This window comes from Homo sapiens, chromosome 9 (genome assembly GCF_000001405.40).
Source record: "Homo sapiens chromosome 9, GRCh38.p14 Primary Assembly".
Classification (NCBI taxonomy): domain Eukaryota; kingdom Metazoa; phylum Chordata; class Mammalia; order Primates; family Hominidae; genus Homo; species Homo sapiens.
In genome coordinates this window covers 124,196,011-124,216,282 of record NC_000009.12, presented here as the reverse complement: position 1 = coordinate 124,216,282, position 20,272 = coordinate 124,196,011, and the positions used below count along the sequence as shown (strand labels likewise).

The 20,272-nt window shown below is 48.8% G+C and overlaps 9 annotated features.

Annotated features, from left to right (window-relative positions):
* Nucleotides 7,440-7,489: a silencer, noted in NCBI's record as "silent region_20259". NCBI's record gives its function as "represses an Ori minimal core promoter by ATAC-STARR-seq in GM12878 lymphoblastoid cells {active_cell/tissue: GM12878}" and the evidence as "EXISTENCE:reporter gene assay evidence [ECO:0000049][PMID:35858748]".
* Nucleotides 7,550-7,639: a silencer, noted in NCBI's record as "silent region_20258". NCBI's record gives its function as "represses an Ori minimal core promoter by ATAC-STARR-seq in GM12878 lymphoblastoid cells {active_cell/tissue: GM12878}" and the evidence as "EXISTENCE:reporter gene assay evidence [ECO:0000049][PMID:35858748]".
* Nucleotides 13,489-13,633: an enhancer, noted in NCBI's record as "145 bp enhancer 159 fragment used in the MPRA reporter construct; PK_construct_3590". NCBI's record gives its function as "activates an SV40 promoter by MPRA in K562 cells {active_cell/tissue: K562}" and the evidence as "EXISTENCE:reporter gene assay evidence [ECO:0000049][PMID:23512712]".
* Nucleotides 13,493-13,542: an enhancer, noted in NCBI's record as "active region_28965". NCBI's record gives its function as "activates an Ori minimal core promoter by ATAC-STARR-seq in GM12878 lymphoblastoid cells {active_cell/tissue: GM12878}" and the evidence as "EXISTENCE:reporter gene assay evidence [ECO:0000049][PMID:35858748]".
* Nucleotides 13,556-13,566: a transcriptional cis regulatory region, noted in NCBI's record as "NFE2L2 motif; enhancer activity is reduced when this motif is scrambled". NCBI's record gives its function as "necessary for full MPRA enhancer 159 activity {active_cell/tissue: K562}" and the evidence as "EXISTENCE:site-directed mutagenesis evidence [ECO:0005528][PMID:23512712]".
* Nucleotides 13,593-13,932: an enhancer, noted in NCBI's record as "active region_28964". NCBI's record gives its function as "activates an Ori minimal core promoter by ATAC-STARR-seq in GM12878 lymphoblastoid cells {active_cell/tissue: GM12878}" and the evidence as "EXISTENCE:reporter gene assay evidence [ECO:0000049][PMID:35858748]".
* Nucleotides 13,942-14,142: a silencer, noted in NCBI's record as "fragment chr9:126964420-126964620 (GRCh37/hg19 assembly coordinates)". NCBI's record gives its function as "represses an EF-1alpha promoter that drives an FKBP-Casp9 reporter gene in an ReSE screen in K562 erythroleukemia cells {active_cell/tissue: K562}" and the evidence as "EXISTENCE:reporter gene assay evidence [ECO:0000049][PMID:32094911]".
* Nucleotides 13,983-14,042: an enhancer, noted in NCBI's record as "active region_28963". NCBI's record gives its function as "activates an Ori minimal core promoter by ATAC-STARR-seq in GM12878 lymphoblastoid cells {active_cell/tissue: GM12878}" and the evidence as "EXISTENCE:reporter gene assay evidence [ECO:0000049][PMID:35858748]".
* Nucleotides 15,688-15,867: an enhancer, noted in NCBI's record as "active region_28962". NCBI's record gives its function as "activates an Ori minimal core promoter by ATAC-STARR-seq in GM12878 lymphoblastoid cells {active_cell/tissue: GM12878}" and the evidence as "EXISTENCE:reporter gene assay evidence [ECO:0000049][PMID:35858748]".

Sequence of the window (20,272 nt, the reverse complement as noted above, 5' to 3'; positions counted from 1 at the left end):
AGACGGTGGAGAAACTGAGGCTCAGGGAGCGGATGCCACAGGCCCAACACGGTCACATAGCTGGTGAATGGCAGACCAGGATTTGAACCCACGTTTGTTAAAAATCAATGTCCGACTGGGCGCAGTGGCTCATTTCTGGAATCCCAGCACTTTGGGAGGCTGAGGCGGGCGAATCATGAGGTCAGGAGTTCGAGACCAGCCTGGCAAACATGGTGAAACCCCGTCTTTATAAAAATACAAAAATTAGCCGGCGTGGTGGCGGGCCCCTGTAATCCCAGCTACTCGGGAGACTGAGGCAGGAGAATTGCTTGAACCTGGGAGGCAAAGGTTGCAGTGAGGCGAGATCACACCACGGCACTCTGTCTTAAGGAAAAAAAAAAAAAGGTCCATGTTTCATCCACTACCTGCGACAGCCTCTGGAGAGCTACCCCTGGGTGGGGAGAACGTCAGGGAGGCAGAAAGAGAGACAGAGAGAGACAGAGAGACAGAGAGGGCCTGCAGCAGCATGGTGCAGGAGAGGACACAGGCACTGTGGTCACAGACCTGGACTCAGGTCCTGGCTGTGCCCTGTCTAGCTGTGTGACCCTTCCCGGGCCTCAGTGTCCTCATCTGTAAAACAGGGTGACACAGGGCAGTTGTAGGTGCCCCATAGAAGCTGGCACTGCTTTCACTTGGGTCTTCCAAGTCCATTCAGAACCATATTGATGAGAATAACATGTGTCCGATGCTTCCCTAGTGCCAGGCATTGCTCCAAGTATAGCAGTCTAAACACATTCACTCATCAGACCCTCCCCAGGACAGGATGAAGTGGATGCCATTATCCCCCCATGATTCATGTGAGGAAACTGAGGCACCGCATCCACGCTGGGCTCTGTGTTGGGCACTGGGGGTACAGCTGTGACACAGACATGCTCTTTGTTCTTGAGGAGCCCATGGCTGGTGGGGGACAGATGTGTCAGCATCTATGTTGTTGTAACACCAGATGGCTGCCAGTAAGGGTCATGTTTGGGGTTCAAGGGAAGCCCCCAGGGACTGGGGGGGAGGAAGGGATTCCTTTTGACTGGAAAGCTTGGTGCACAAGATGGTATTTGAGTGGAGCCCAAACAGGCACCTAAAGGAATTTTTCAGGTTGGTTGTAGCTGAAGGCCTTTCCAGGCAGGAGGAGCAGCACATGCAGAATCAAGGAGGTTGGGGGATGTTTGTGGGGAAGGGAAAGGAGCCCTGAGTTTGTGAATCTGGCATGTGGCCAGGAGTAGTACACGTGTCCGCCGTCCACAGGCAGATGTGTCCACCCTCAGGTCTGTCTGTGGGTCTGGATGTTCAACATGGCCCTGTAGCAGCTTCTGTTGATGTACCGCCCATATCTCCTTGGAGCACCTTTGAGTTCCCTGCCCTGCAGTGGACTGTCCCCACTACATGTTCTCACCCCTAGTCCCCTGCCTGGGCTTTCTCCGGCACCACAGGAGCTCCCAGCGATCAAGTTCACACAGGGTAACCCAGAAATGTCAGGGCTGCAAAAGTCCCCAGGGGAGGCCCTCCCCCAGGGAGGGGCGGCGGGCAGTGAAGACCCTTGGCGGGGCCCCAGTGGAACTGAGCCCCGTGCGCCCACCCAGGGACCTGCTCATTTGCACAGGAAGACCCTTATTGGCTTTTCTCTCTTCCCTGCCCCACTGTCCCCACTCTCTCTCTCCTACTTCCTGTGATCACCGTCTCCCAAATAAGCCACCGACACCCATCTTCTACCCCATCTCCCCTCCCATTCACATGTTCACATTTTTGTCCAGATGGCAAATGCCCATGGTGCCCACTCTGCCGGACCCTGTGCTGGGGCCAGGGGAGCAGAGATGAACTGGGCACAGCCTTGCCCTCGAGCATCCACAAACTCGCGTAGCTGAGTGCTCACCCTCCCTCCCCCATGGCTCTCCTCCCACCAGATGAGCTGGGGCAGGAGGAGGGTAGGTGCCGAGCTAGACCACTGCCTCACAGGGTCGTGGCTTCCCCACCCTTGGCTCTCTCTAGCATGTAACTTCCCAAGGAAGCGTGTGCTATGTCCAACAGGAAGGAGGAAGTGCTTTGTGCTCACTACACATCCGGCACTTTCTGTGTATTAAACCCATTCATCTTCCCAGCAGCCCTATGAGGTAACTACTCTTCATATGAACCCCATTTTATAGATGGGTAAACTGAGGCACCAGATGCTTTGCTTGAGATTATATAGCTCATAAGAGGCAGAGCTGAGATTTGAACCCAGTCAGTCTGACCTCAGAGCCTCTGGCTTAACCTCAGTGCTTCACTGTTTGGGGAAGGAGGGAAGACAGAAGGGGAGGTGGTTCAATGCAGAAGAAAAGATTCAAAGGCACACAAAGGTCTGCAAGAAGGCAGATCAGCCTAGAAAAACGTGCCCGAACACATACGTCCACACTAGTGTGCTCTGACACGCACAAATCCATGCACGCTATGTGTACGGTGCACACAGGTCTACACAAAAATGCGTGTTTAGCTAATGCACATATATCCACGTAAATGTGCTCATACGTGCATGCCCCATACAGTCAGGGATCTTTTCATACTCCTGGGCATCCACACGTGTGGCTCATATCCGGGCATCCACAAGCTGCCTCCCTACACTTGCACATGCAAACATGCATGCATATTTGCAGACATGCTCACACACGCACATTACATTGGTTTGCAATCACGCATGTCTCACTGCCCAAGGGTACACACACAGACACTCACATACGTATGTCTTCCCAGGCACCGGCACACACAAATACAAATTAGTTACCGGTTCGAATTCTTTGCTTAAAGAAAACTTGTGACTGTATTAAAAATGTAGGACACATCAGCCAAATAATTAAAGCGAGGAGGGAGGCAGTGGGACTTCTCGCCACTCTCTCGGGGCTGCCTGTGCTGGGCTGTGCTCAACGTGCCTTCCTCCTATATATTTGAGGAAGAGGCACTTTATTACAGTAATTTATCACCCCCATAAATGTGGCTCCTCGGTAACGTGGAATAATTTGGGAAGAAATATGTTTTAAAAATTAAAAATGCAGTCGGCATGCGCCCCGTCAGGTCTGCAGGGAGACATCGCTGCAACTCCAGTAACTGCCCGTGTAGCTCTAATACCTACAACTTCCATTATTTAAAGTGTGATTATATTTTTCCTGCTTGGAGCTTTGTCAGCTATAAATAAAAGATAAGGGTGAATTGTTGCGGGGCCTGGTAAGCACTTCCATTATTGGTACTTAAGGGGGCTTGGAGATGGAGGGAATGGGCCAGGATGGGGAAGGAAGGGGAGGCCACTAGGGGGTACTGACTGGGCCTGGCTGAGCTGTTGGCATGGGTGGGCCCCGTCTCTTTTCTGGTTGTGTTTTCCTTTGGATCCAGGGTGGCGTGACCCTGTGAACTTCAGCTCTATTGCCCACGAACATGGTGGACCATAAAGAAAACCACCCACGGTGGTTGCTGCCTGCAACACATCCCGATGTGCCTGCCCTGATCCTGGGTCTCCCCAGGGACCCCACAATCACAGGACACACACATGGGAGAAGGTCTCACAAGATAAAGAGATTTATCCACTTGAAGATGTTTGTTTCTCCACAACCAGGAGCTGTTTCCAAGTGAGTCCAGGGATGCGAATGGATGAGGAAGGGGACTCACAGGACAGCGTTTGTGGGGGTGGAGAGGTTTCTTTATTAGCCAAAAGTAGGTCATTCCTGAGTCAGAGGACTATTCCAATTAAACCGAGAGTAACGGAGAAGGAAAGGACATTCCTTTGAGAACAATCAGATCGGAAAACAAACTGGTTTGTTATGTCAAAGGGAGAAAAGGAGCAACAAAAAAAATGATTAGAAAAGAAAGCCGGAAATAATCTCTCTGCCCCAACTCTCAGTCGTGCACATTTCTGTAAATCTGAAAGCTTGGATTGGCATCCTGGCCATGCCAGTTCACAGATATGTGACCATGGGCAAGTTTTTTTTCACCTCCTTGAGCCTCAGTTTGCTCCTCAGTAATTTGGGGATAACAGCGTCTGTTTTCAGGGTTATTGTGGGTTTGTTTGTTTGTTTGTTTGAGTCAGAGTCTTGCTCTGTCACCCAGGCTGGAGTGCAGTGGCATGATCTTGGCTCACTGCAGCCTCCGTCACCTGGGTTCAAGCGATTCTCCTGCCTCAGCCTCCGGTGTAGCTGGGACTACAAGTGTGCACCACCATGCCTGGGTAATTTTTTTGTATTTTCAGTAGAGACAGGGTTTCATTATGTTGGCCAGGCCGGTCTCGAACTCCTGACCTCATGTGATCCACCCGCCTTGGCCTCCCAAAGTGCCAAGATTACAGGCATGAGCCACTGTGCCTGGCTGTATTGTGGGCTGTTATTAAATAAGGTAACAGACATAGAGTGTTGGGCCTGGCTCCTGCCGCACTCCAGGTGCTTGATGCGGTTGATGAAATAAAGTCAGACAGAGGCCCGGCAATCACACTCCTTGTGTTTACCCAAATGACTTGAAAACTTATGTGCACACAAAAACCTGCACACAAATATTTATAGCAGCTTCATTTATAATTGGCAAGATGTGGGAAGAACCAAGATGTCCTTCAATAGGTGAGTGGATAAACAAACTGTGGCCCATCCAGACAATGGAATATTATCCCGTAATGAAAAGAAACAGACTGTAGGAATGAGGAGTTATGGTTTAATGGTTATGGATTTCGGTTTGGGTGATGGATGGTGGCACGACAATTTGAATGTACTTCATGCCACTTCAAAATGGTTAAAATGAAGCCGGGTGTGGTGGCTCACGCCTGTAATCCCAGCACTTTGGGAGGCCGAGGCAAGTGGATCACTTGAGGTCAGGAGTTTGAGAGCAGCCTGGCTAACATGGTGAAACCCCGTCTCTATTAAAAATACAAAAATTAGCTGGGCATGGAGGTGGGCACCTGTAATCCCAGCTACTTGGCAGGAGAATCATTTGAACCTGGTAGGCAGATTTTGCAGTGAGTCGAGATCACGCCATTGCACTCCAGCCTGGGCCACAGAGTTAGACTCTGTCTCAGTGAAAAATTTTGTGTTTTGTATATTTTACCACAATAAAAAAAAGAAGTGAACTATTAAGTCATGAAAGAGCATGGAGGAGCTTTAAATGCATATTACTGGGTGAAAGAAGCCAGTCTGATTAGGCAACATACTGTATGATTCCAACTATATGGCACTCTGGAAAAGGCAAAACTATTAAAACAGTAAGAAAAAAAAAAAGACCGGTGATTGCCAGAAGCTGGGGGTGGAGGAAGGGAGGGGAGATGACGAGGTGGAATACAGGGGATTTTGGGGCAGTGAATCTATTTTGCATGATGCTGTTACGGTGGGTGCTTGTCATTATATGTTAGTCATTGTACATTAAATGTGTATACATGAGTCATCATGCATTATACATTTGTGTTGTGCATTCTATAGTGAATCCCAGTGTGAACTATGGACTTTAGTCAATAATAATGTGTTAATACTGCTCACCAATTGTAACAGATGTACTACAGTAATTCAAGATGTTCATCATAGGTGAAATAATGGGGTTGGAGGTGGTGGGGTATATGGGAATTTTCTGTGCTTTCTGCTTCTTTTGCTGTAAACAAAAAAACTGCTCTAAAAAAAGTAAAGTGTTTAAAAATAAAAATTAAAGTGAAAAAATGAAAAATGAAAGCTCTAAAACTTAATAAAAAATAAATAAAATGGGCCAGGCACAATGGCTCACATCTGGAATCCCAGCACTTTGGGAGGCCAAGGCAGGTAGATCACCTGAGGTCAGGAGTTGGAGACCAGCCTGGCCAACATGGTGAAACCCCATCTCTACTAAAAATACAAAAATTAGCTGGGTGTAGTGGCGGGCACCTGTAATCCCAACTACTCGGGAGGCTGAGGCAGAATTGCTTGAACCTGGGAGGTGGAGGTTGCAGTGAGCTGGGATCACGCCACTGCACTCCAGCCTGGGCGACAGAGTGGGACTCCATCTCAGAAAATAAAACTAAAAATAAAATGGACATCAACACTGGCCTTCCCTTAGCATTTAAAACCATGAGCAGGGCTGGACATCTTAGTAATTATTCGCCCAGTGGTTTCCAAACACTTTGAAATTTTTTTCCAAGCGTAAATTTATGGTGTCCCCCTCCACCCCCAAGACACTTCAAAAGCTCATTATGACCAGAGCAAACTAGATGAAACCAGCAAACAGGTTTGGAAGTGACTCCAGCTCCATCCTGTCATGGGGTCTCTCTAACTGGGCCCGTTCTCAACTCTCTGGGTTGGCCTGATTTTAGCCACAATGGATCACTGAAATCCATCTGAGCTCAGTGAACTGGTCAACTGATCTAGCTGATTCAAACCATTTGAAGCTGGCAGTGGCTGGTTGTATTTGTCCTAATTCAGCTCAAACCAGTTTGAACTGGCTGAAATTAGGCCCAAACTAAGAATCAAGAAGTGCATCCCCAAAACAAAGCCTCAAAAGGAAGAGAGGCTGAGATTCCATTCGGAGTGATAGAACAGGGGGTCTCGGTGGCTGGGGCCGGAATAGCCTAGTTTGAACAGATGAGTGTTCTGCTGCTGAGGCTGGAGAGAAGTGGAGGGCCTGGAGCCCCTTACCTCCTGCCTTTACTCCTACAGGGCCTCCCGGGAGCCCTAGGACTCCGTTCAGAGGAATAGAGGCAATAGGGTTGGGCTAACGAAAGGAAGATGGGAGGTGAGGAGTCAGAGGCAGCTCTACAAAGATAATGGGAGGAGGAAGGGAGGGGAAGGGCCCAAGGTGGGAGGAGTTTTCAAGATGCAACACCCCGGAGCAGGTCTGTGGGCTAACAGGAGAGGGAGGTACTGATCAGGAACACACAATAGGATTCAAGCCCTTAAAAAGGCAAGAAGCGGGGTGGATGCAGCGGCTCACTCCTGTAATCCCAGCACTTCAGGAAGCTGAGGTGGGCGGATCAGGTGGTCAGGAGTTCAAGACTGGTAGAGACAGTCTCTACCAAAAATACAAAAATTGTCCGGACGTGGTGGCATGCGCTCATAGTCCCAGTTACTTGGGAGGCTGAGGTAGGAGAATCGCTTGAACCCAGGAGGCAGAGGTTGCAGCAAGCCGAGATCGCACCACTGCATGACACAGGCATGGGCTACAGAGTGACTGTGTCTCAAACAAACAAACAAACAAACAACCAAAAAACAAAAGGCGAGAAGGAATGGGATTCAGAGCACAAGTCATGGCATTGGCCTCTGGGAAGAGAAGGGACATGGCCTCTGGATGCCAGGAAGGAGGACACAAAGACCAAGGCAGATGAGATAGGTTCACAGGGATGGGGCAAGACCAAGAAGGCAGTCACGCCTCTTGAGCATCTGTTCCATCAGTGGTGTTTGGGGCATGGTTACCTATTGAGAGAGATGGGGTGGCAAGGGGGTGATACATTTGAAAAGTGAAAAGATAGGAAATGCTTACTCCAGAAAAGAGAAACACAGGAGGCTCTGTGGGGCAGCTTGAGGTGCCCATTTGAGGTCTGTGGTCATGAATTTAGAGTGAAACCCGGAAGCTTAGCTGTGTGATTTTCTCCAGTGATACTCACTTGGGTGGGGTGGCACAGGCACATAGAGTCAGGAAGTCACCGGGTGTAGTAAATTGAATGGTGCTCTCAAAGATATATGTCCATAGCCAAACCCCCCAGAACCTGTGAATGTAGCTTTATTTAGAAAAAGGGTCTTTGGGCCGGGCGCGGTGGCTCACACCTGTAATCCCAGCACTTTGGGGGGCCAAGGCAGGTGGATCACTTGAGGTCAGGAGTTCAAGACCAGCCTGGCCAACATGGCAAAACCCCGTCTCTACTAAAAATACACACAAAAAAATTAGCCAGGCGTGGTGGTGTGCACCTGTAATCCCAATTACTTGGGAGGTTGAGGCAGGAGAATCACTTGAACCTGGGAGGTGGAATTGCAGTGAGCCAGGATGGCACCACCACTCTCCAGCCTGGGTGACAGAGCAAGACTCTGTCTCAAAAAAAAAAAAAAAAAAAAAAAAAAAAAAAAAAAAAAAGAGGGAGTGGGGGTCTTTGGAGATGTAATTGAATTATGGAGATGTAATTAAAGATCTCAGGATGAGATCATCCTGGATTATTCCTGTAGACCCTGAATCCAATGACAGTGTCCTTATAAAGATAGAAGACAGCCGGGCGAGGTGGCTCAAGTCTGTAATCCTAGCACTTTGGGAGGCCAAGACAGGTGGGTCCACTTGAGGTCCGGTGTTCAAGACCAGCCTGGCCAACTTGACGAAACCCCGACTCTACTAAAAAATACAAAAAATTAGCTGGGTGTGGTGGTGGGTGCTTGTAATCCCAGAGACTCAGGAGGCCGAGGCACGAGAATTGCTTGAACCCAGGAGGCAGAGGTTGCAGTAAGCCGAGATGGCACCACTGCACTGTAGCCTGAGCAACAGAGAGAGACTCCCTCTAAACAAAACAAAACAAAACAAAACAAAACAAAAATAACAACCACAAAAAAAAAAAAAAAGAAGAAGACAAGACACAGAGGAGGAAAAGATCATGTAAAGATGGAGGAGAGACTGTAGTTATGCAGCCCCAGGCCGAGGTACACCTGGAGCCAGAAGTTGGAAGAGATGAGGAAGGTTCTCCTCTAGAGACTTCACAGGGAGTTCGGCCCTGCTGCCGCCTTGATTTCAGACTTCTGGCCTCCAGAACAGTGAGAGAATAGACTCTTTTGCTTGAAGCCATGCAGTTTCTGGTAATTTGTTACATCTGCCGTAGGAAACTCACACACCACCGGGAAGATGATGGGGTGAAATTGAATCACTCAAGTAGAGGAAGGAAGCCAGGAGGGGACCAATGGATAGTGAGAAGAGGTGGGGCCAATGGACTGGCAGTGCCAATGAGAGTCCAAGAATTATGGCAGTGGTGGTACTTGAGCAAGGGTCTGCAAGGGTACGAGGCAAGTGTGGTGTGGCGTGTTTCTAGAGTGGGGAACTGAAGCCAAGCCAGGGAGGTGACTTAGCCAAGCTCCCACAGTTATTTGTGGCAGAGGAAGAGACTTCCAGTTCTCAGCCCCTACCTAAGTCATTCACTCATTTATTCAATAAATTCTCATTGAGTGCTAGGTGCTCTGAATACCAAGACCAAAAGATCCAGTTCCAGTCCTCGAGGAGCTCATTGTGTACATACGAGATAATCTCATCATTCATTTAATCTGTTAAATATACATTGTAAATATACATTTTACGTAGCAAAGATACATTAAATGTCTATTAAATATACATTGGTGAACAAAATCACCAAATACACATCGGTGAAGAGTCAACAGCCCTCATGGAGCTTGAAGAATAGTGATTTACTTGCTGTGGGATGTTGGGCAAGTATCTCCATGTCTTAGTACCTCCGTGTCTCATTTTCCTCACCTGTAAAATGGGGATCCTAATAGTAGTCAACTAACAGGGTTATTGTGAACATGAAAGGAGTTAACAGCATGTAAAATGCTTAAACATAGTAAGCTTTCAGTAACTTCGCTCTTTTTATTCTTTAGTAATTGCAATGCATGTATATCTTGTACTCTCAATAGACCTGTTGCTGCAGTCAGTGCCCCACCCAGATCCCCTGGGTACTTGATTTTCTGGTACATGCAGATGGTGTCCTGCACAAGCACCTGTGATTGATTTTCTGCCTGAGTGCTTCCTCTTCACCATATTGCAGAGTTGGTTGGCTGAGGCCAGAAGCATGGGGTTGTTAACACCCTCAGGAATAGCATTCAGCCAAGGGTGCACAGGAGTGGAAGGACAAATATACCAGCTTCCTTTCCCCTTGAGTAGGACAGCTCTACGGCATGTTCTACTCTGACAGTTCCCTGGTGACATGGAGCCTTAGTTGCCCATAGTGGGAGCCTGCTTATTAACACATATACTTTATTGCTTTTCCTTCTTTGTGTTGCTTCCCCATTTCCCTATTGTTATTTCCTGAGATCAGCTCTAAAATAAACTAGCTGCTTACACTTAATCCTTGTCTCAGGATCTGCTTCTAGGGGAACATAACCTGAGACAGTTGGTATTGCAAATGGTCCTGGGAAGTAGATTCTCAAGATAGGCTTCTTGGACGCAATCACTCACAGTCAAGATGGCAATAAAAACCACATTTCTGGTGGTAAGTGAAGTGGTGGTAACACCTGGTGTGCTGTAGCCTCAGTCTTGCTAAGGCTGTCACCTGATTGGATTGGGAAGATTTGTAGGTGGAAGGAAACACAGTGGTATATCTCTATCACTTGAGAGATAGGGGGCAATGGTAACTGTAAGGATTGCAGAGTTGTTTGGCTGAAGTTAACTGCAATTAAAGCCCTAAACAAAGAAAATGGCAGGCTCAGATTAGCCAACTATCAATTTATGTCCCAGTGTGAAAGCCGGAAGGCTCACAGGGTGGTGCTGAAATAGACCATTAACTCCTGAAGCCAGAAGGCAGACTGTGCTGAAAATCAGACCTAAGATCTGATTGCAAGAGTAGTGGCAGTACACAGGGGGCTAAATTCACTACTCCAGAAAGACTTCTATGCTGAAATCAGAGAGCCAGTAGGGAAAGACTGGGACCCTGAAACCTAGGAGGGGAACATTTGTGTGGGTATTCCTGTTAAACCGGACCCTCAGATTCCCCTGAAAGTCTGGACTGGTAGAAGTGATCTCCCATCCTCTTTGCTAGAGAAGAGCAGCCTCCCCTTGGTGGGAGACAATGCAAAGCCTCACCTGAGGTGGATGATTTGCTTCTCAGGATAATGTGGATTCTTCTACAACATCCTCAATTTTTCCCAACTGCTATTCAGACCAATAACTAGGGTCAGGTCTTGGCATGGTCTAAAGTTTCTTTAGTAGGAGATGAATTGTGCAGGAGCTGGCTCATGTGTACTTGTAGGAACTAGGAGAACACCCCTGGGGGTGATCATCCTATATTAGAGGACAGAGGATATAAGGTGATATGGATATGAGGATATATGGGACACTCTCCTGTGACTCCGGAGCCCTGGTCCCATTTTATAATGCTGCTGGGATGGCTACTTGGGGCTTGGACATGAAATGAGCCTACAGCAAATGAGATGGAGATGACGAAACTGCCATGGCAAAGTTTCAAGGAAGGAATAAAAAAGCTGGCCAGGCACAGTGGCATATGCCTGCAATCCCAGCGCCTTGGGAGGCTGAAGTGAGAGGGTTGCTTGAATCCAGTTCAAGACAAGCCTGGGCAACACAGTGAGACCTCATCTCTTCAAAAAATAGAAAAGTTAGCCAGGTGTGGTGGTACACACCTGTAGTCCCAGCTACTTAGGAGGCTGAGGTGGGAAGATTGCTTGAGGCCAGGAGGTTGAGGCTGCAGCGAACCGTGACTGTGCCTCTATACTCCAGACTGGATAACAGAGTGAGACTCTGTAAAAAAAAAAAAAAAAAAAGGGCTCATAGAGGTGGATATGTCAGAATGGACTGCCCCAGCCTGGCTAAGATAGTAAATCAGAAGTGATACCGCATATTAGAAGCAATTGCAGAGATGAGAGCCACCCTGAAAGACTTAAAGGATGCAGGAGTGGTGGTTCCTATCATACCCCCATTTAGGTCACCAAGAGGGCCTTTGTAAAAACCTGGTGGTAGCTGGGCATGGTGGCTCACACCTGTAATCTCAGCACTTTGGGAGGCTGAGGCGGGTGGATCACCTGAGGTCAGGAGTTCAAGACCAGCCTGACCAACACGGAGAAACCCTATTTCTACTAAAAATACAAAATTAGCTGGGTGTGGTGGCGCATGGCTGTAATCCCAGCTACTCGGGAGGCTGAGGCAGGAAAATCACTTGAACCCAGGAGGCGGGGGTTGCAGTGAGCCAAGATCACGCCACTGCCCTCCAGCCTGGGCAACCAGAGCAAAACTCTACCCCAAAAACAAAACAAAAAAAAAACAACAACAAAAAACCTGGTGGATCATGGCAGAAGATGGTAAATCACTGCAAATATAACTAAGTGGTAGGACCAATCACAGCTGCTGTGCCAGATGTGGCATCTTAATTGAACAGATTGTCATCACCTCTGGCTCTTAGTATGTGGCTATTGATCTGGAGAGTGTATTCTTTTCTATCCACATCGGAAAGGTGGATGAAAGCAGTGCGTATTCACATCGGGCAGACATCAGTCCACAGTCACTGTCTAAACCCCAGATTATGTTAACTAACGTTCCTGCTCTCTGTCACGGTACAATCTGAAGGCGTCTTGATGATCTGAACTGAGGTGGCTTTGTATTGTGACAACTTGACTGAACTGAAACTATGTTTCCCAGATTCCCTTCCCTGCATAGCTCTGGGGTAGCGTCGGTCATAAGACATTTTGAGGCCAGGCACGGTGGCTCACGCCTGTAATCCCGGCACTTTGGGAGGCCAAGGTGGGCGGATCATCTGAAGTCAGGTGTTCGAGACCAGCCTGGCCAACATGGCAAAACCCCATCTCTACTAAAAATACAAAAATTAGCCAGGCATGGTGGCGGGCACCTGTAATCCTAGCTACTCATGAGGCTAAGGCAGGAGAATCCTTTGAACCCAGGAGGCAGAGGTTGCTGTAAGCTGAGATTGTGCCACTGCACTCCAGCCTGGGTGACAGAGCAAGACTCTGTTTCAAAAAAAAAAAAAAGACGTTTTGAGTGAGATTTGGAAGACAGAAGTGAAGCAGCAGACATGTGCATTTTGCGCTTGGAAACTGGGTACCAGGTGCTATTGTCCAGTACCTGCCAGCTTACCTTGCAGTCAAGGGGCAGCAGCCAGGTCTCTAGCTTCTCTGCCTCCTGACGTTCCTCTGTTCAGGTGCCTGTGTGCCAGGCACAAGCCCAGGTGCTGGGGGTATCGTGCTGGGGAAGACAGGCAGAATTCCTGCCTTGTTGGGTTTATGTTCTCTTGGAGATCAGTGAAGGAGATAGAAAATTCTTCAAAGCCAAGTTCTTCAGAGCAGAGCCCGCACTCTTCCCCTTGTCCCCACCATCCAGCGCAGCATGAGCCCACCACTGTGTGTAGAGTCAGCCGCTCTGTGCCCATGTACCTACTTTCCATCTCAATTCCCATCTTCTTCTCTGTCTCTTCTGGATTGGTATCTGCAACCCTGAACCACTAGCGGCAGTTACTTCTGAGAAGTGAAATTGGGAAGGAGGGCTTTCCTGTTTATTTGATGTACAACTGAGGCAAAGAGAGATGACGGAATGTGTCCAAGGTCACACAGCTGATAAGTGGCAAGCTGAGATCTTGCCCGCCCCCACCCCCCTCCCCACCTTTGCACATCATGTTTCCAACCATGACAAGGACGGTCCCCTTCCTCCCTCACCCCTTCCAGCACTGCCCAGCCTCCGCACATCAAACCCAGACTTTCCCCTGAAAGCCTCTTGTGTCTTCACTGCCTTCCTCCTGACTGTGGTTGAAGGACAGAATTAGAACTCATCTTGCAGTGGGAGGTGGTAGCAATGGCAGCAGAAGAGAAGTGACTTCTCTTCAACTTCTAGGAATTGACTTTGACAATCAGATAGGGCCAGGGGCTGAGTCACTGGCGGGGGCCCACTCTGGCTGGGTTTCAATTAGTTCAGAAGGTGGCAGTGTGTGAGGGTGGAGAGGGGGTGGAAGAAGGCAGAGGCCTCCAGTTTCACTTCCTCTCTGGGAGGCCCAGGCCCTTCAATGCTGTTCCTGCCTCCTCGCTGTGGGAGGGCTCACCCAGCAGCTATCAATCCAGGCCAACTGGAGTGGGCTAAATTTAGGTCCTAAGATGTCACAGATGTAAGGACCCAACATCTCATTTTGCAGATAAGGAAACCGAGATTGAAAGAGGTGAAGAGACTCGCCCAAGGCCGCATAGCAATTTATATTCACTGCTGGAGCTCAAACCCGGGCCTCTCCAAAATCACCCACCACAAGGCTCCAGAATGGACGCTGTTTCCAAAACGCCCAGCCTGGGGACCGTCCCAAGGCCAGCCCTTAGCTGGGTTGAGGGTCACTGCTCTGTGACTGAGACCAAAAATGGGTTTTGGAGGCAGGCATCTGGTTTCTTTTTCTCTTTTTCTTTCTTTCTTTTTTTTTTTTTTTTGAGATGGAGTCTCTCTCTGTCGCCCAGGCTGGAGTGTAGTGGCACCATCTCGGCTCACTGCAAGCTCCACCTCCCGGGTTCACGCCTCAGCCTCCCAAGTAGCTGGGACTACAGGCGCTCACCACCTCGCCTGGCTAACTTTTTGTATTTTTAGTAGAGATGGGGTTTCACCGTGTTAGCCAGGATGGTCTCAATCTCCCGACCTCGTGATTTGCCTGTCTCGGCCTCCCAAAGTGCTGGGATTACAGGTGTGAGCCACCACGCCCGACCCAGTCATCTGGTTTTTAATCCTGGCTCTACTGCTATGGTAGGGCCTCAGACAATGATTCATTTCTTCTTAAATGAGCATAAAGGATATTTTCCAAGCAAATCTATGCCCAATTGCCTAGAATGTAGTAGATACTCAGTAAATGTGAGCTCTGTTTCTGTTTTCCAATAATTTCCTAACTGACTTTGACAGAATCCTGGTTTTTTTGACAATGTCTCTTGGGGTCCTCAGTAGGAGGGAGTGAAGAGGAAGGCAGAGAAAATCGGGCTTCTACTCCCCCACTCCCCTCTCCACCAATATCCCCTAGGAACCAGAGTATCTCTGACTTTATCCATTTTATATGTTGTTTTTCAAAATGGTCCCATAAGGCCGGGCACAGTGGCTCATGCCTGTAATCCCAGTACTTTGGGAGGCTGAAGCAGGTGGATCACCTGAGGTCAGGAGTTCAAGACCAACATGGCCAACATGTTGAAACCCCATCTCTACTAATAATACAAAAATTACCCAGGCATGGTGGTGTGCGCCTGTAATCCCAGCTACTCGGGAGACTGAGGCAGGAGGCTTGAACCTGGGAGCTGGAGGTTGCAGTGAGCTGAGATCACACTACTGCACTCCAGCCTGGGTGACAGAGAGAGACTCCATCTCAAAAAAAAAAAAGGGGGAGGGGCCTGTGAATGACAACCTGGCAGTCCCCCACTGCCTTAGAGACGTAAATGCAGGGAGGACCTACTGGAATTGCAGGAAACAAGACCCGCAGTGCTGTTTTTTCACTGATGCATTTGACATATGCTTCACACATCTAACATTTGATCACTGGTTTCCTGGGGCAGCAGGAGTCAGTGGCCAGCCCTGTGGGTTCCCACTCAATTGCCCTGCTCCACTTCTGTCCTAACTGACGGAAATCTGATTTGGGTTGACCACTGGGTGCCCCTGTGATTCACGGGCTCCCTTTCTGGCCACAAGGAGGGAGGAAATGGGCACCAAGGTGAACCTATTGGGATGATTTCATCCCTCTTGCGAGTGATCGATCAGGGCCTGGGTGACAGGACTGTGCTCCTTAGACAGGAGGTGATGCCTACTGGGGAGAGGGAAACATTCCCTTTGATCAAAAACGAAAAGTTAGGACTGAATTTAAGGAAGAGAAGGGCTGGGCATGGTGGCTCATGCCTGTAATCCCAGTACTTTGGGAGGCTGAGGCAGGTGGATCACTTGAGGTCAGGTGTTCGAGACGAGCCTGGCCAACATGGTGAAACCCCGTCTCTAATAAAAACTACAAAAATTAGCTGGGCAGTAGTGGCTCGCACCTGTAATCCCAGCTACAGGGGAGGCTGAGGCAGGAGAATTGCTTGAGCCTGGGAAGCAGAGCTTGCAGTGAGCTGAGATCGTGCCACTGCACTCCAGCACTCCAGTCTAAAAATAAAACAAACAAAAAGATACATGGCAAGAGGAAAAGCTGCCCCCTTCGCTTGCCTCTCTGTATGACTGAAGACATAACTCCCGGCCCTGCAGCAGCCATCCATGACCTTTGGGGACAGGCTTGAGGACAAAGTGAACCTGCCATGAACACATGAACTAGTCAGCTGTTGCTACAGTAATGCTGCAAACAGCCCTCCCCAAACTCAGTGACCGATGCAGTCTTGTCTCAGGCTCCCAGGTCATAGGCGAGCAAGTTGATGTGGTTTAGCTAACCTAGAATGGGCTGGCCCCCGCTGCGTCAGGCTGCAGGCTGGGCTCTGGTCTTCCCCCAATGTATTTATTCTGGGAACCAGGCTGAAGGGATGCTACAGCTGGGATGAATTCTTCTCATGGCAGGTCTCAGGAGTGCGAGGGTCTCAGTCAACTCACATGAGCACATGTAAGGCCTTGGATGACCAGTCATGGTTGCTCATGCCTTTAATCCCAGCACTTTGGGAGGCCTAGGCAAGTGTATTGCTTAAGCCCAAGAGTCTGGGACCAGCCTGGGCAACATAGTGAGACCCCCGTCTCTACAAAAAATTTAAAAATTTGCTGGGCATGGTGGTGGGCACCTGTATTCCCGGCTACTTGGGAGGCTGAGGCAGGAGGATCACTTGAGCCTAGGAGTTTGAGGCTACAGTGAACTATCATTGTCCCACTGCACACCAGCCAGGGCAACAGACAAAGTCCCTTTCTCAAAAAAGCAAAAAAAAAAAAAAAAAAAAAAATAAGAACTTGACTCACATTCCAATTGCTGATGAGAGTCACATGACCAAGCCCAGCACACCATTCAGGATGTATACTCACCCAGGGCAGGTGGAGGCCTGTGAATATTTATGGACCAGTACCCCAACCTATCATACAGCCATGGACATAACTGACCCAGGAACAGCCCTGCTGGCCTTCAGTTTTCCCCTCTGTGAGACAGGAGTGTCTACCAGTCGAGTTAGAGTTTTTCTATTTGTAGCCGAGATGGAAGCTGGGTCGTGGGGTGGCGTGGGTGGCTGCAGGGCCTCCTAGGGGAAATGTACCATGAGAAAATATGGATTCTGGAGTAAGCAATAGGGCCTGAACAAAAAGGAGAGTTCCAGACTTGAGGTGGTGGCTGGGACTTGAACCCCCAACCCCATCCTCCTGCCGAGGTGTGTGCTGCACCCAAGGGAAAAGCTAGCTCTAGGTTTTTGAACTTAGAAAGCAGCTTCATCAACTTCTGCATTGGGGCTTAAGCACCTCCAGGTAGAGACCTCCTGAGTGAGCATAAAGCTTTCCATCACAGACCCAGGAGCTGCCCAGGTCTTAGGGGCTGGAGCTGTCAGGAAGGGTCTGGCGCTGGGTCAAGGCACAGGAAAGGTCTGTGTGGAACAGAGGCTGGTGCAGCAAAGGCTCAGGGGCCAGGGCCTGGGTGCGGTGGCTCATGCCTGTAATCCCAGTACTTTGGGAGGCCAAGGCAGGTGGGTCACCAGGAGTTCAAGACCAGCCTGGCCAACGTGGTGAAACCCCAGCTCTACTAAAAATACAAAAATTAGCTGGGTGTGGTGGTGGGCAAGTGTAATCCCAGTTACTTGGAGGCTGACCTGGGAGAAACGCTTGAACCTGGGAGGCAGTGGTTGCAGTGAGCCGAGATCATGCCACTGCACTCCAGCCTGGGCAACAGAGCAAGACTCTGTCTCAAAAAGAAAACAAAAAGCAAAAAACATGCTCAGAGGCCAGCCCAGCTGAGGTGCCCTGGTCAGATTCATAGGTCCATGGAAGACTCCATTTGGGAACAACCCGAACTCTCTTGTTGGGGCAGAAGGTGGGAGATTTGTGGTAGACTAGGGTTCTGGGACAAGGAGGTGGGCCTTGGGGCTGGGTGCTGGATGTGCCTCTCCACGTGATCTTCTTGCACCCAAAGGACATGGTGAGGCCTGTTCAGCCTTATGTCATGGCCTGAGGTTCCCAAGTTCAACACCCACATCTTCCATAGATACAGAAGTCCCCAGTGGTCAGCCTCCAGTAAGAAGAGAGTAGGCAGCGGGGAACGCTGGCTTAATAAATAAGAAAATAACAAAAATAAGAAGAAACGGGCCAGGTGTGGTGTCTCATTCCTGTAATCCCAGCAATTTGGGAGGCTGAGGTGGGCAGGTGACTTGAGGTCGGGAGTTTGAGACCAGCCTTGCCAACATGGTGAAACCCCGTCTACCAAAAACACAAAAATTAGCCAGGTGTGGTGGTGCATGCCTGTAGTCCCAGCTACTTGAGAGACTGAGGCAGGAGAATCACTTGAACCTGGGAGGTGGAGGTTGTAGTGAGCCGAGATCACGCCACTGCACTCCAGCCTGGGCGACACAGCGAGACACCGTCTCAAATTAAAAAAAAAAAAAAAAAAGAAATGACATCAACAGTTGCATCTGTCCATAGTGTGTAGCGCAGCATTCAAGGAGATCCCTGAGGCATCTGGGGTGTCTGATATCCTATAGGCACCAAGGCTTCCTTAATGCTGCCCCCACCTGATTTTAGAGTGGGGACCGCAGAACAATGTCTGGTCCACAAAGAGCTCAGCCAGGCTGACCACGGAGGCTCAGTGGACTGAGAAGATGGTCAGAATGTGTGGTTTCAACAGCTAAACCCAGACACCCTGGTGTGCGTTTCTCAAATTAGCGATATGTGGGTGGTGGTAGAGGGCAGTAGATCTCACTGGTTGTAACCACAAGCATCCTGGGGCCGTACTGGCAGTGGGGGAAGATGGTGGAGGTAGGGGAAGAAGGGAGGAGTGGGGCAGGTAGGCGAGGACCACGGGAACTGTAGGACTTTAGGGAATTCAGATGTGTCATAGTCACTGTGGCCAGCAAGGCCTTGGGTCCTCTGCCCACACAACTTCATGTCGTCTTGCAACCACCCCACTGGGAGGGGCTGTTACTATCATTTCACAAATGAGGAAGCAGAGACTCAGAGACGGGAAGTACCATGTGCAGATATGAAGGGAATGGAGCTCAGCTAGCAGTCTACGTGACCGTGGCCAAGGGGCCAAGAGGACCAAAGCTCAATTCAGGTCAAAACCCGTCTCTGAGAGGGTCCAACTGGGCAGGCAGGTGTGGTGGGCATCTGTGCTCCTGGCCAGCCCTCCAGCTCCCTTCTCTTGTATCCTCCTCTCCCCTAGGTGGAACCTCAGGGGCCATATTTGTACCTCTCTGCTCCCCTAGCGACAGCTGATTAGACCAGAGGTGCAGGCTGATTTGAGCTGAGCCAATCAGCTTCTTTCTCCTGTGACTTTGGCTTTGAGAATCAGGGATACTGGGTTGCCTTCCTGGCTGGTTATTTGAAAGGAGGCATAAAGCTGGGCTGGACTGGCTGTGTTTGGCCACTTGCTCATAGAATGGCAGAGAGAAGACTCAATCATGGAAAGGTTGAAATGCAGTTATGGGAGGGAGAGACAGAGACAGGCAGAGACAAGATAGAAAGAGGCAGTCATGCAGGAGAGATACTGAGACAAGGCGGGGAGCGGGAGAGGGAGAGAGAAAGGAAGGAAAATAAGAAGGAAGACTGAGATAAAGAGAGAGATAGTCACAAGGAGCCTAAGACACTACCTCCAGATCTCCTGACAACTTTCTGGGTCCCTACTCCTGCCTTCCTGAAGCTGCTCCATGTCCAGCCTTGGATCTCTGGGACCCTCCTGTTTTAATAAATTCCCTTCTCTTCTTGGGCTGTTTTGAAGAAGCTTTCTTTCTTTTATTTTTTTTACTTGCAATTAAACCCCCTGACCTCATTGCATTCAATCTGTACATTGTTTTGGGAGTACAGATATTAATAATATTAATTCTTCTCATCCATGAGCATGAAATAGCTTTCCACTAATTTAGATCTTCAATTTCTTTATCAATGTTTTCTAGTTTTCAGTATACAAATATTACACCTCCTTGGTTAAATTTATTCCTCAGTATTTTTTTAATGCCTTTGTAGATAAGATTGCTTTCTTGATTTGTTTTTCACCTAGGCTGTTGTTTTTGTGTAGATCTGCTATTGACTTTTGTGTGTTGATTTTGCATCCTATGACTTCGCTGAATTTATTTATTAGATATAACAGGGTTTTTTTGTGTGGAATCTTTGGGATTTTCTGTATATAGAATCATGTCATCTGCAAATAGAGATCATTTTACTTCTTCCTTTCTGATTTAGATGACTTTTATTTCTTTTTCTTGTCTGATTGCTCTTGCTCATACTTCCAGTACCATGTTGAATAGAAGTGGAGAGAGTGGGCATCCTTGCCTTGTTCTAGATTTCAGTAGGAAAGTTTTTGATTGTTCCCCATTAATTATGGTGTTAGCTGTGGTTTTTTCATAAATGGCCTCTATTATGTCAAGAAACTTTCTTTCTATGCCAAAACTGTTAAGAGTTTTTATCCAGAAAGGATGCTGAACTTGGTCAAGTGCTTTTTCTGTTTCAACTGAGATGATTGTGTGGTTTTTATCTT